This window comes from Homo sapiens, chromosome 2, assembly GCF_000001405.40.
Source record: "Homo sapiens chromosome 2, GRCh38.p14 Primary Assembly".
NCBI lineage: Eukaryota > Metazoa > Chordata > Mammalia > Primates > Hominidae > Homo > Homo sapiens.
Genome location: NC_000002.12, coordinates 96,108,565 through 96,122,596, shown reverse-complemented (window position 1 = coordinate 96,122,596; position 14,032 = coordinate 96,108,565). Strand labels below are relative to the sequence as shown.

The 14,032-nt window shown below is 59.7% G+C and overlaps 1 protein-coding gene across 1 annotated transcript, besides 6 other annotated features; it reads left to right on the top strand.

The window, feature by feature from the left end:
- Window positions 2,273-2,322: a silencer, noted in NCBI's record as "silent region_11751". NCBI's record gives its function as "represses an Ori minimal core promoter by ATAC-STARR-seq in GM12878 lymphoblastoid cells {active_cell/tissue: GM12878}" and the evidence as "EXISTENCE:reporter gene assay evidence [ECO:0000049][PMID:35858748]".
- Window positions 5,197-5,266: a silencer, noted in NCBI's record as "silent region_11750". NCBI's record gives its function as "represses an Ori minimal core promoter by ATAC-STARR-seq in GM12878 lymphoblastoid cells {active_cell/tissue: GM12878}" and the evidence as "EXISTENCE:reporter gene assay evidence [ECO:0000049][PMID:35858748]".
- Window positions 5,307-5,766: a silencer, noted in NCBI's record as "silent region_11749". NCBI's record gives its function as "represses an Ori minimal core promoter by ATAC-STARR-seq in GM12878 lymphoblastoid cells {active_cell/tissue: GM12878}" and the evidence as "EXISTENCE:reporter gene assay evidence [ECO:0000049][PMID:35858748]".
- Window positions 5,777-5,936: a silencer, noted in NCBI's record as "silent region_11748". NCBI's record gives its function as "represses an Ori minimal core promoter by ATAC-STARR-seq in GM12878 lymphoblastoid cells {active_cell/tissue: GM12878}" and the evidence as "EXISTENCE:reporter gene assay evidence [ECO:0000049][PMID:35858748]".
- Window positions 6,026-9,721, top strand: ADRA2B (adrenoceptor alpha 2B). Its single transcript, NM_000682.7, has one exon. It carries the CDS (start codon window positions 6,448-6,450, stop codon window positions 7,798-7,800), a length of 1,353 nt encoding a protein of 450 aa, NP_000673.2. The 5' UTR covers window positions 6,026-6,447; the 3' UTR covers window positions 7,801-9,721.
- Window positions 6,037-6,126: a silencer, noted in NCBI's record as "silent region_11747". NCBI's record gives its function as "represses an Ori minimal core promoter by ATAC-STARR-seq in GM12878 lymphoblastoid cells {active_cell/tissue: GM12878}" and the evidence as "EXISTENCE:reporter gene assay evidence [ECO:0000049][PMID:35858748]".
- Window positions 12,839-13,826: an enhancer, noted in NCBI's record as "H3K27ac-H3K4me1 hESC enhancer chr2:96774519-96775506 (GRCh37/hg19 assembly coordinates)". NCBI's record gives its function as "activates a minimal SCP1, AML or CMV promoter by ChIP-STARR-seq in primed H9 embryonic stem cells {active_cell/tissue: H9 hESC(primed)}" and the evidence as "EXISTENCE:reporter gene assay evidence [ECO:0000049][PMID:30033119]".

The following is a 14,032-nucleotide window of genomic DNA, read 5'->3' as shown; positions in this document are numbered from 1 at the left end:
GGATGCACTCAGGGGACACTGTGTCCTCTACCTTCAGTCGGCCTTGGGTTTCAGTCATGAGTCATGAACCCTGAGACTGAACAGTGGCCCAGTCCCAGGCATTAGCACAAGGGAAGGACTGCAGGGAGGTGCTGTTCTTCCTCTTGCTCCTGGCTGGGGGAGTGGGGTCTGCGTGAGTGTAGAGTGGATAGGGGCTCTGGCCATGCCCCAAGGAGTAGGGGACAGCCCCGCTGGGAGGCTTCCAGGCAGAGACCTTGAGGCAGCCCTAGGACAGAGGCAGTACATGCAGTGCCCCATTTATCAAGGACAGTAGAGAGGCTTGCACTCCTCTCGGCCTCTGCTGTTGGGTGGAAGGAGGTGCTGTGCTTCGTACCCAGGGAGGACCCTGGGGCTCGGGCCACCCGTCACCAGCCTCCATTGGGATTTGTCTCTTGGTCTCCGATCTTGTTCTCTTGAAGATGCCACTTGTCTGAGCCTGGTGGCTTAAGGGGAGCACAGGGACAAGGTTCAGTCGTTTGAGCCCCAGCCTGGGTGGTGGGAGGGGTACAGGGCCCTGGGGTGTAAACCAAGCCCAGGCGGCTAGCCATCCCCTCCCAGGGGTCTGTGGCTTGTTCACCTCCCCAGTCACCGACCATGCAGCTGTGTAGGCTCAATTTGTTCACTCATCCAACATACCAGGTAGGCAGTCTCTGTTCTGCTGGGAATAGCAGTGAGCAAGGTGGGTTCCTCTTCTCGTGGAGCTTATTCAGGGTGGGGAGGGTTGGACAATAAGTCAGCAAACCAGAAAACATCTGGCATTGGCAAATGATGGCAGAGCAGAGCACCCCCTTAGGCTGCTGGTTAGGAAGGGCCCCTCTGAGGATGTGACATTTCAGCCTAGCCCTAAATGGCAGGAGGCTGCCTGTGAAAATTCAGGAACTGAATTTCCTGAATTCCTGAGTAGCCAGTGCAAAGGCCCTGAGGCAGGGGAAAGCAAGGTGTGTTGGGTCTGTGTAACTGGCATGGGGAGGGGCCCACAGCCAAGTCAGAGATGGGGAGGGTTTTATTCCACAAGCAACAGGCAGCAACTACTGGAAGGTTTGAAGGAAGATGGTGCCACATCCGACTTAAGGTTTAAAACGTCCTCGATGCATTCTGGAGAATGGGCTGGAAGCAGAACAGCCGGGAAGCCACTGAGGTTATGCAAGGGAGAGAGGCTACAGAGATGGACAGGAGCAGGTGCCTTTGGAGTGTTTAGGGGTCACAGTGGCCCCACTTGTGATTGCATGCATGGGGTGAGGGCACAGGCTCTGGGTGGGAGCTGCACCATTCACTGAGAATCCAGCACTGAGGACCTCGGGGCAAGGCAGGGCTGGGGGAAATGGGTATGTCAGGTCTGAGGTGTCCATGCGACATCAAAGGGGTCAGAGAGTAGGTGGGCTGAAGGAGTCTGGGGTTCAGCGGGGAGAGCAGGGCAGGAGGTGCCTGGGGGAGTGCTGTCGAATCTGGAGGGGAGCCACACGTGTAGAGGAAGAGGAAGGATCCCCGGACTGAGCTGGGTTGCTGCATTTAGAGCAGCATTTCTTAATTTCAGCGTTGCAGCATTTTGTACCTGGTAATTCTTTATTGTGGGGACGGCCCTGAACCTTGCAGGACATTTGGCAGCATCTTTGGCTTCTACCCACAGATGCCAATAGCGGCCCCCTCCCTGTATTCCAGACATTGCCGAACGTCCTTTAGAGGAGGAGAATCACTCTTAGCAAGAACCTCTGACTTAAGAGTTTGGGAGAAGAAAGGGCTGCAGAGGAGTGGCTTTCAAGGCGGTCACAGACCCTGTGAGTGTTCCAGGGGAAGGGCTGCTGTGCCAAGTGCTGCTGAGAAAGAGGGCAGAATAAGCCTGGTGCTTGGTGATGTGGAGTAGGGCATGACCCACAGAAGACCCTCGGTGGAGGGTCTGAAGATGACCTGCCGGGGGTTAAGGAGAGAATGTGAGGGGTCAGCCACAGTGCCTGGATACAGACACGGGGGGAAGGTGGCTATGGGAGGCAGCAGAAAGGTGATGGGGCTTGGGGGGCAGTTCTAAGGGGTGGGGCTGGCTTTGTAGAGTAGGGGCAGTGACCATAAGAGGGGGATAACTGAAGCGGGGGAACCCTGGGGTGAGATGAGAGGGGTTGGGCTCTAGGGCATAGGTTGAGGACTTGCCCTTCAATCAGCAGAGAGAGTTTGAGGCCAGATGCAGGTGGGCGGCGGGGGTGAGTTCCTGCCTGGACTTCCGTTTCCCCCTAAGTACCAGGCAGAGTCACAGCATGGTGGGGCGGAGGAGTGGCTGGGAGGTTGGAGAGGGAGGGAGGGATGCCGATTTTAACAAGTGGGAAAGTGAGCATACTAGGGAAGTTTGGAGATTTGTGGTCATGAATTTAGAGTGAGGCCAGTCGATGCAGAGAGTGTTTTGCTCCGGAAAGAGCAGCTGCTTGGTCAAAGGCAGGCAGTGGGTGGATGATTTAGGTTTGACCAGAGCTGGGGTTTTGTCAAGATCTTTATGCAGAGAGGACGACTGACTTCTATTATAGAGGACACGACCCAAGGATCTGGGAAGTGGGGAGGTTGGGGCATACAGGATGGTCTGGGGTTAAGAGTCCCAGGGACTGAAAGGCTGGTGGGGGGCGGGGTACATCTGGAGAAAGGTGGGGTGTGTGGCCTGATGGGGGTCTGTCCCAGTGGGCCCTTAGGGGAGGGAAGGCACCGTTGTGAGCTGCTGGAGCCCCAGCCCAGGAGATCTGGTGGCACCATCTCACCTCTCAGGCCTGGAGAAGTGTCTCCATGGCTTCCAACTAAGGTCTCACAGCCAGCAATGGGACAACAGTCTTGCCCTTCTTTGGAAAAGGTGGATCGCTTCCATGGCTAGGTCCTTTCCCCATGGCCCCTCTTCCCAAGGACATCCCTCCAGGGCACCCTCATTTGGGCTATCTGTCTTAGAATGCTCATGTGTATGAGTGCACTGTTGCCTGCTGCCACTGTCCCTCACGGCCAATGACCTTGTGCCAGGTACTGGGGACAGAGAAGGGATGTCCACTCTGATGGGCAGAGGTGATGCAACAAACCCATCAGAGAGCATCTTAGTACAGTGTGCTGAGTGTGAAAGTGGTGCCGCCTGGCGTCGAGGAACCTGGAGAATGGAGGTCCTCCCTCTGCCTGAGAGCCTGGTGACTGGTGAGTGGGCCTTGAAATGTGAGTAGGAGCCCACCAAACACAGAAGGAAGGGTGATAGGGCATCTCTATCAGAGCAAACAGCCCCAGGGAAGGTCTAGAGAGTGGAGACCCAGGGCACATTCAGAATCCAACACTGGCCTGGCGGGGCAGGGATGGAGGGCTGGGATCCAGGTTGTGCCCTGCTGCCCACTCCCCTGCTATGTGTCTGGGAAAGCTCCGGCTGCTCCTGCTGCTGGCTGTTGCTGGTCTGGGACTGAACTATGCCCGTTCCTGTGGAACAGGATGACAGTGGAAGGTCAGGTCTAGTTTGGGAAGAGCTGAAGGAAGCCTTGCTATGCTAGTAGGCTCCAATTCCTGCACCTGGCAGCCTCATGGGGCTGGTTGGAGCAGGCAAGGCCTGAAGGTGTGTGTGTGCGGGGGGAGATGGTGAGCCGCCGAGAGGAGCAGGAGCTGAGTTATGTTATGGCCTGCGTGGCCGTGGAGAGCTGGCGCACCCACGCTGCACTTGTCCATCCTGGGGTGGAGCCAGGAGGAGACAGCTGCAGTAGACGGTGACAGCCTGGGGCAGCGGTATGGATGCCAAGGCAGCTCCTGCTGCCCGGAGGGCACACATCTCCCAGGTCTGCCAGCTGTAGACTCTGTCCCTGGCTGTCCCCACCTGGCCTAGTGCCTAGCTGGCCCAATGAAAGATGCCTAGCAAGGCTTGGCACTCAGTAGACCCAAAGTTGTCACTTCTAGGAAGGCCCAGGTAAGCGTCCTCAGTGGGGACTTGCAGGGTGGGGAGGGCACACGGGCAACCCAGTCTCAGCTCCTGCAGCATCCCTTGAAGGAAGATGGGTCAGAAGACAAAGGCTGATGCTGGCTGCAGAGTCTGGGGAGCTGCTCACTGGCCCCCAGCCCAAGTGTGGTTGGAGACAGTGGAAAGGCGGTTCCTCCCGATGCCCATGTGGGCCTCTAGCAGGCCCAGACTGTGAAGGCCTTGGGAGCCCCTGGATAGGCAGGCACCTGCCTAAGTAGCTGCTCCCAGGCTCTCATGGCCACCCTCTGTCCTTCCTCAGGGAAAGAGCTACTGGCATCTCTCCATCACTGGTTATGTATGCCCAGGCGGCGCCCAGGCCCTGCCCAGCCCAGAGGGTGGGAAAGACACATCCAGGAAACTGTGTCTAGCAGAGTGGTCGGTTTTGAGCTGAAGCCTAGGGTTGGGGGTGGGAAGGAGGCTGATTGCCCTGTCCGAACCCAGCCCTGGCAGCATCCACCCCATGGGCTGTGGGCACTTGCACCTCACCAGAAGCTGGGGAGTCTGGCAGAATGACAGGGATGGGGGGATCAAGGAGGCACCTACTCCCAACACACCCCCGTGGCTGGGGGTGCTGGTCTGGGTACCTGAGACGGGGCACCTCCCACCTGAGCCTGGGGAGGCGCTAGACATTGTCCGTGGGCACTGAGAGGCCACGTGCTCTGCTCCCATGGAGGGAGCAGGGAGGAGAGGAGGTCCAGCAGGTTGGACGGGGCCTGGGGGAGCCCCACTGTCAGAGGTGGATTGGTGCTTATTTATACAGAGGATGCCTTGCAGAGTCGTGGGCTGTGAATAAGAGGCCTGGCTCGAGGCGGGGCTTATGACATTAGGGGCTCCAGAACCGGGGAAACATGCCCTCAGGGCTGCCCAGGCTGGTGCTGGTGGCGGTGTGGCAGGGAGAGTGAGTTGGGGCCCTGAGGGAGAACAGTTGCTCATAGCGCTTTGAAGGCGAGTGGGGGGCCTTAGTCTGAAGTTTCTTTTTACCCCAACCCTCTTTCCACTGTCACCCCCAGAAGGGCTTCAGTGTGTATGTGGGGCAGGACCGCAGCAGGGAGGGAGGGTCAACCCCTTCCCCCGGGGTCACTACAGAAGCGGAGGGACGCTCCTCTCTTCACGGCTGCCCCTGAGACCTGCTTTTTCTCGGAGCTGTGTGACAAAGTCCCCACCCTTTACTCCCCCACGGCAAGGAAGGGACCTCCCCTTCGCATTAGTCAAGGGGCGGCAGCTCGCCCTGTGCCCCGTACAAACCCTTGGCTGAATCGCAGTTGATGCTGTGATTCGAGTCCAAGCCAGTTTCCCTGTTACCTCCTTTGCCCTTAATGGAGGAAACTGAGGCAGCTGCGGAGACACAAGAAGCCGAAGTCCTAAGACCCAGGCTGCGAGCGCTGGCTCCGGGACCCGGGCTGCCGCTGACGGGCTGGGCCCGCGGGCGGCAGCAGGGGGCGCTCGCAGGCCGGGACGCGCCCTCCTCGCGCGGCGCTGGCCCGACGGAGCTGGTCCGCGAGGGGCAGCGCCTGGGAAAGGGTCGGGACCGGCTCCCCGCTCCCCGCTCCCCCACCTCTCCGCAGGGCGTCTCCACGGCCGAGCCGGGCGGGGTTGTGGTGTATTGCGACCCGGCGCCCCAGCCCCACGCCCGCCCTGCCCTCCCTGCGGGCTCCCGAGCGGCGGAAGGCAGAGCAGGGCGCACCGGCGCCGGGCCCAGCCCGGTTCCCCCGGGAGAAGTGTCCCGTCCCGGTGCCGGCCCGCGCGCTAGCTCCGCGTCCCGGCTCCCGGCACCCACCGACCCCTCCACAGCTGCGCGCGTCCTGCCTGGGGGCCGGAGACCCCGGCCGCCGGGCCCCTCCGCTCTCCCGAGGCGCGGCCGCCGGGAGGAAGGCAGGTAGAGGCGCTGGGCGGGGTCCGGGCGCGGGAAGTCCCGGGCTCACGCCTCCCGCGAAGCGCACCTTCAGCCCACCTCGGTCCGCCCACCGCCCCGCCTCCCGCCCGCTCCCGCGCCCGCCTCCAGTCTCCGCCTTCCTCCAGCCGCTCTCCCCGCTCCCCACTCCCCTGCAGGCGCGGCTGGGGCGAAAGCCTGCGAGCTGAGCGGGCGCAAGGTCCTCCGCGCCTCCTTTAAGAACCGGCCCAGCCCGGCCCGCGCCCCCAGAGCGTACGGCATCCGCGTGGCGGGAGGGCGCGACTTTCTCCGGTCCCGGGCGGGACGGGGACGGCGGCGGGACAACTTGGGAAACTTCTCTGGGGCGGACGGCAGGGACCCCGGGCACCGGTGGAGGAGGATGTAGGAGGGCGGCTGCTGGTCCTGGGTGTTCCCGACCTCCTAGGCCCCGCTCGTCCAGGCCATGGGGCTCCAGCGCCCTCGGCGCCGCCCGAGGGGCGACGCTCTTGTCTAGCCGAGCCGGGCAGCGCTGTCGTCCACGGTGCGCACTGGGCGGGCAGCGCTCCCTCTGCCCACCTCCCGCCCCGTCATGGACCACCAGGACCCCTACTCCGTGCAGGCCACAGCGGCCATAGCGGCGGCCATCACCTTCCTCATTCTCTTTACCATCTTCGGCAACGCTCTGGTCATCCTGGCTGTGTTGACCAGCCGCTCGCTGCGCGCCCCTCAGAACCTGTTCCTGGTGTCGCTGGCCGCCGCCGACATCCTGGTGGCCACGCTCATCATCCCTTTCTCGCTGGCCAACGAGCTGCTGGGCTACTGGTACTTCCGGCGCACGTGGTGCGAGGTGTACCTGGCGCTCGACGTGCTCTTCTGCACCTCGTCCATCGTGCACCTGTGCGCCATCAGCCTGGACCGCTACTGGGCCGTGAGCCGCGCGCTGGAGTACAACTCCAAGCGCACCCCGCGCCGCATCAAGTGCATCATCCTCACTGTGTGGCTCATCGCCGCCGTCATCTCGCTGCCGCCCCTCATCTACAAGGGCGACCAGGGCCCCCAGCCGCGCGGGCGCCCCCAGTGCAAGCTCAACCAGGAGGCCTGGTACATCCTGGCCTCCAGCATCGGATCTTTCTTTGCTCCTTGCCTCATCATGATCCTTGTCTACCTGCGCATCTACCTGATCGCCAAACGCAGCAACCGCAGAGGTCCCAGGGCCAAGGGGGGGCCTGGGCAGGGTGAGTCCAAGCAGCCCCGACCCGACCATGGTGGGGCTTTGGCCTCAGCCAAACTGCCAGCCCTGGCCTCTGTGGCTTCTGCCAGAGAGGTCAACGGACACTCGAAGTCCACTGGGGAGAAGGAGGAGGGGGAGACCCCTGAAGATACTGGGACCCGGGCCTTGCCACCCAGTTGGGCTGCCCTTCCCAACTCAGGCCAGGGCCAGAAGGAGGGTGTTTGTGGGGCATCTCCAGAGGATGAAGCTGAAGAGGAGGAAGAGGAGGAGGAGGAGGAGGAAGAGTGTGAACCCCAGGCAGTGCCAGTGTCTCCGGCCTCAGCTTGCAGCCCCCCGCTGCAGCAGCCACAGGGCTCCCGGGTGCTGGCCACCCTACGTGGCCAGGTGCTCCTGGGCAGGGGCGTGGGTGCTATAGGTGGGCAGTGGTGGCGTCGACGGGCGCAGCTGACCCGGGAGAAGCGCTTCACCTTCGTGCTGGCTGTGGTCATTGGCGTTTTTGTGCTCTGCTGGTTCCCCTTCTTCTTCAGCTACAGCCTGGGAGCCATCTGCCCGAAGCACTGCAAGGTGCCCCATGGCCTCTTCCAGTTCTTCTTCTGGATCGGCTACTGCAACAGCTCACTGAACCCTGTTATCTACACCATCTTCAACCAGGACTTCCGCCGTGCCTTCCGGAGGATCCTGTGCCGCCCGTGGACCCAGACGGCCTGGTGAGCCCGCCTGCGCTGCCCCTGTGGGGTTGGTGCGGTGGCGCCGGGGTCACCCTGCTTCTTGCCCTGCTGTGTGTGGCTGCCTCCCCTGGGCTTTCTGCTCCCTGCCCAGATCCTGTAGGCCTCATCTTAGGAACCCCTTGGGAGGGGTGGGCAGGGGGGCTGCTAGCAAGGGTCCCAGTGAAGCTTCCCCTTGCCGGCTTAGCTGTGGGGGACCCCTTCTCCACCCTCTCCCTGAGCACAGGCCGATGGAGGTGGTTCAAATCCTCTGGAACATAGCCAAGACCAGGAGAAGAGAGAGCACTTTCTTCCCAGAGCCCCATGCTCTCCAGACCAATGTCTGGGCTTCCCTTTCTTGAGGACCTTGTGTTCCTGGCAGGTCACTTGCTTGTGGTGTTTTCGTTTCTTTTTCATCTCCCCCCCACCCACAAAGAGCACGGAGCCAGCCTTCCACTTTTCCCAGTGGGGCCTGCTGCTGAGGGGGAGGAAGAAACGAAGACTGATCACCCACGCTAGGCACTCGCGGTCCCTGGCAGGCGCTGGGATGGGGGCTTATGGGGTGGCATCGTCTCTGGGCCCTCCTTTCCCCCTTTGCCTGTTTTCGGATCTGTGGTTCCTTTGAAAGCCAGAACAATGGATCGGCTTCCTTACCCAGCACCCCTCCGGTAGGTGGGTGGCCACGTGGATGCCTCGCTGGGGCGGTCTTGGAGGCCTGGTCTCTGCCTCGACGGGAGATCCCCGATCACTGGCATTCACCCCCTGCAAAAATCGGGGCGACAATAGCTCACTGCCTACTTGCTGCAGGGAGATGAAAGGCTTTGCAGAAAGCTTTGAGCTCTGTGGGGGAACACACTAGAGAACCAAAAATGTGATTATATGGTGATATAAAAATCCCTTTCCTCTGTGTTTACCACCACCTGTCTTCCTGTAGACTTTTGTTCTGTCCCTGGGGTGTGTGAATTCCTACCCCGAACTGGAAGCCGGGAGTGGCAGACAGAATCACTATTTCAAGTTAAAGGATCTCTTTGAGAATGTGTTCTTCTGGCTGCAAAGGTCTGAGTTATTACGCTACATGACAACGTTTCGACATTTCACCGGCAACACCAAGAGGGTTTTTAGTGGCTTGGGTCTCCCCAGTGGGGGATAAGTCTTTTGTCATCAAGGAGGCAAATTGTCTCCCCAAGACAGCTCAAAATATCCACACCTCGGCAACAGTCTAAGATGAGAGCCTGTGACAGGTGGCAGCGCCCCCAGGTGGGGTACTGGCATCAGAGCCTGGTGCGCCCCTAGGGGAGCCTCCCACTGGAGTGCCCGGCCAGGTCTCCAAGCCCCAAATGAGTCCTTGTGAACCACAACTGATCCCCCCAGGTGGGTGCTTGTGGACTGCCTCGGACCCAGCCACGCTGCTCCCCGCAATGCTGATGGGGCTGTGCATTGAGGACCCCTGCTTCCTGGTTCTCAGTCCCACCCCAAAACCTGGCACCCAGAACAGTTGGAAGTGTGGAAAGGAGGTTTATCGGCCTTCCCTTGGAGAGGGCCTGGCTTCAACATTGGGCCAGTAGGCATCTTAGCTTGGCAGGTGTCGGGGGAATGGGCCAGATGGACCTGCTAGATTTGGAAGGGCACCGAGGGAGTTTTCTGGGTGTAGAGAGAATGGAGGGGACCAAAAAGAGTCCTTCCTGGGGTGTGGGAGGCTTCCCAGCTTGGTCCTCAGTGGGTTGTTGAGGCCAGAGTATCGCCCTGGGATGTGGTGGGGAGCTGGGCCAGGAGAGGGACTGACTGTGACCCTCTGCTGGCCGGTCTTGTGTGCGCCCCATGGGACCCCCAGTGTTCTTGCCTGTGACCTCTTATTGCGACATGCAGGTGGTGTTTTTTTTTTTTTTAAACTCTGAGCTATTTTATCAATAAAGGATATTTTGTAATAAGTAAGTGGTGTCCTTGTTGCCCAAAGGCTGCCTGGAGCAGTTATTCCTCAGCTGCTGGCACAGCAGACTCTGGGTGCTGGCCTAATGACCTGGGGCTCCCTCCCAGGGCCAGTAGTCCTCTCCTCCCCGAGATGTGGCTGGCTGGTTCCCCCAAGCCCCTGCCCTTCCTACCCGCCTTTGTCCACAAAGCATCCTTACTCATCATCACAAGCCAATGGGTGAGGGTGGCTGGAGGAGCCTGAGACTGGCTCCCTGGGAGGGAAAAAAAGGGAGGGTTTTCTGGAGGAGGTGGCCTTTGGGTTGGGTCTTGGAGGAAGAGAAGGAGTACACCAAGAAGCAAGATGGGAGGGTGTTTTGGGTAGGGGGAAGGGCATGTGTAAAGGATGTGATTGGTGGATTTGTGGCTGGGTTTGAAAACAGCCCCAAGCTAGCCCCGGGTGGTCTGGTGCCACAGCCTTCCTGCCCTACTTAGTGGCCACAGAGTGGGCAGTCCCTGGAGCCTGAACCAGGTGGGCCTGCTCCCATGGGCAGGGGGGCAGATGGCAGGCTGGCAGCAGGAGGCCGTGGGCAGGGCCAGTGCCAGTGGCCAGCCCAGGGAGGGGAGGGAGGAAGGAGGACACGTGAAGCCCCAGGGTCCTCAGTGTGAGGCCACCCCTCTACTTCCACATTGGCCCAGAATCTTCACTCTCACCACCTCCATACTGGCGTGGGCCATGCTTCTGCTAGGGACAACCAGCGAGACCTCCAGTGTACCCACCATCACTGACAGACACGGGGACATGGGCTTTGCTGAGGACTTAACAAGAAAGACATGCCCTGCCCTGCTCTCAGCTTCCCACACCTGCCGAAGCACCCACTGCTGACACCCAGAGGCCTGATGTGGGTGATGAGGATGGTTCATTGACTCCCTTTTACTGATCCAGGCTCTTCTGGTTTTGTCTGATGACCTCATTTAATCCTTATGCCTGACTGTAAGGTAAGTATCAGCCCCTTTTATACTAGAGAAATGCAGGCTGAGAAAGCTGTAATGACCTGTTTGAGGTCATCCAGGCCCAGGCTCTTTCTGCTGACCACATTGTCCCCAGTGCTTAAGCGTCTGCAAGGGGCAGGCCCTTGAGCCTGGGAGTAGAGAACCCTGCCCTGACTCTGGAAATGGTGGTGGAAAGGTACCCCTCCTAGAGCAGGACTGTTTGCAAGCCCATTTTGAATACATTATCTCATTAATCCTCACAACCTTGCTGAGAATGATCATTTTACAAAAAACGAAATTGAGACTTAAAGTGGCCTCTCTAGGTCTTGAAATCACAAAACTATGAAATTCAGGTGATGAAGAATTGTGATTCCATCTCTTCAGCCAGCTCTCATTCAGTGGCGCTGGGTATCTGAAGATCCTGAAACTGCACGTGGATGGATTCAGCAGGTGACCATGCTGTGATTGATTGTTCATGTCTGTCAATGCCACAGAATATGTAATTGATGGCAGGTGTGTCCCAGGCTTTCCATTCCTGACAGCTCAGTCCAACCACTGAATTGTATGAAGGAAAAGACTGGGGCCCAGAGAGAGGAGTTGAATTGCCTCAGAGGGCGTCACACAGACACAGCTGGCTGAGCTGGATGTAGATCTAGATCTAGACCCAGGTTGCCCATCATGCCACACTTTCACACTGAAGGAATTGCATCCGAACTCAAGGAATAACAGGCCCACATTCAGGAAACATCCGCTGACCTGTGTGGCAGGACCTGTGCTGGGCTCGTCCCCATTTTGCTGTCTCTTTCAGTTCTCAGATGAGGAACTGGGGGGCGGAGTCTCAGGCACCTGCCCAGGCCCCTTGACTAACGGGGTGCAGCTGGAGCTGGGCCCAGGACCTGGCTCCCGATCAGGCTTTCTTCTCTCTCATGCTCCATTCCTGAAGCTCTCTGTGAGTAGGACCTGCTTTTGATTTCGCCCTGAGCCCATCTGAGGGCTACAGGTTGATGAGGCTGGCTGAGAACAGTAGAGGCGGGAGTGGGGTGGGTGCAGCCCTCTGCCTCCAAGAGTAATCCTGGCAAGTCACCTGGAGGTGAGGGTGGTGGGTGCGGGGAGCAGGTGTGAGGCCAGCAGGGGTGCTTTACCTGGCAATTCACCAGGTGGACGGGAGCTGTCTCAGCCGGTCACATCATCCTTCCAGACACCCCTTTCTTAAGACGTCCCTGCTGGAAGGGAGGCGCTGCTGCAGAATGCAGTTAAAGAGGAGCTGGGCAGAGCAGGATGAGGAATATCCCACAGTGGCACCTCCCCTCTGAGAGCCTGGGTCCTTAGTTGGCAAGGATACCCTTGAGAGGGCCTTAAGAGCCAGCTCTACCTTGGGATAGCTGCTGAGAACTTTGGGGCTGCTGAGAACTCCTCTTTGGAGCACTGTGGCTGAAGGGACTCCTGACACTTGTTTAAGAAGGGACCTGTGGCAGGAGGGCCCAGCTGATCTGCCATCAGTGCTCAAGGTGGAGGAGGCTTGTGGCTTCATCTGGCCCTGGACCCTCTCCCCATCCTCTGCATGGTCCCCACCCTGTGTGTGGGGGGCCACTGGCAAGGGGTCTGAGACCTTGCCCAACTCCCACCTGCAAATGGGGTTGCTGCTGGCTGGGGAGGAGGCATCTGCCCAGCTGGAGTCGGACCTGGGCAGCCTTTGGCTTCCCTGGCACTGGTGGGGCTTTCTGCTCCCAGATCCTGGTTGCTGTGGGTGGGAGGGCAGGAGAAGGTGGGGAACTCAGGATTCATGTCCTGTCCCTGCCACCACCTGTTGGGCTGTCCTTAGGCAGGACTCGGTCCCTCTCTGGGCCTTGGTGTCCTTGTCTGCCCATGCAGGATTGCCCCTGCGGTCCCCAGGGTTCCCCAGCTTGGGGCTCCATCTCTGCCTTCCCCCCACTGCCACTCCCTGCCCCAGCTCCCTGGGAGGTCCAGACATGAAGGTTCCTGGAGTTAATCAGTTGTTCTTAGCATCAGGCTCATGGGCAGGATGGCGGTGGTGTTTTCCTCACCTTTGTACCTCAGCACAAAGTTAAGCACCAGTTCTGGAGTAACAGATCAGTTTGGGGCCCTCTGAGATATGCCGTGGTGAAAGCAATCATGACAGTCCTAAGACATTAGGGTCTAGGGCCGGATACGCATCATCTGAAATTGATGTGATTACTATGCCTATTTCACAGGCAAGGAAACTGAGGCAGAGGCAATTGGCTGAGGTTATCCAGAACCAGGACATAAACGTACCCAGTCTCATCTCAGTGGTGTCACCCACTGGCCTCACTCTGCCTCCTCAACAGCCCTGCCTCCAGCATCAACCTCTGCCTCTTCACCAGCCCTGCCTCCAGCACCAGAGCTCAGGCTCTGGGTCCTTCCCAGTCCAGCAACGCCCCTGCCCTGTGTGAGCTTGGGAGCCTCACCTGCTGACCCCAGCCACTCTTGGCAGCTCTCCCTGTTGGCTGGCCCTTCCACGAGAGCAGGACCCCTGGCAGGGGGTGCAAGGCTACCACCCTCCCAGGCTCTGCTCACTGTCAGCAGGGGAGGCGGGGAACTCTGGGCTAAAATTAGATTCCGGGATTCTTCGTGCTCCCGCATCCGTCCGCTCTTCCATCTGGGCTTGGGAAAGGCTGTTGTCAGAAGGCCAGGGCTGGAAGGGCCTGGATGTCAGCTCGCACCCTCCCCCGGGCTTGTCTGCTCTGATCTTCTCACACCCTGGACTGACCCTGGCCAAAGGCTCCTGCCCTTGGCGTGGCCTTGAGGCCAGCGATTGATCAGCAGTGATTTCAGGATGAGGTGCCCCTTTACTGCGCACCACTACCCCCTGGGATTCTATGTTCCCAACTTCCTCTGCTCTCCCTTCTCCTCCCTTCCTCCCTTCCCCTATCCTGGCCCTTCCCACTTCCGGGTCCTCAGCGACTCCCCCTCCTCCAAGCCTCCTGTTGCCTCCTGCTGATCCCCTGACCCCTGCCTTGCCCAGGGGGATGGTCCTGGCTCTTCCTGAGCTTACGGGCTCCATGGAGCAGTGGTGCCTGTGAGGGGACTGGAACAGACTGGAGACCAAAAAAGAGCCTCCCTCCCTGGAAAGTCAGGGCTATTTCTGTCCTTGTGGCAGCCCATGGGGCCCCCAGCTCTCCGGCAGGGCAGGCGGGGGAGGTGCTGAGGGTCCTGACCTTTGATTTCCCCGGGGAGAGGGCAGGCCCCTTCTGGAGCTGCAGAGTGGACCCCACCAATCTCAGAGCAGCTGGGACTCAGATGGAATTTCCTCCCCACCCATGGGGACTGGAGCTGCTTTAAGAGGGAAGAGGGCTGGGCTG

Excerpts from the sequence above, each read along its gene's own strand:
- ADRA2B (NM_000682.7), top strand. The coding sequence starts at position 6,448 with ATGGACCACCAGGACCCCTACTCCGTGCAGGCCACAGCGGCCATAGCG.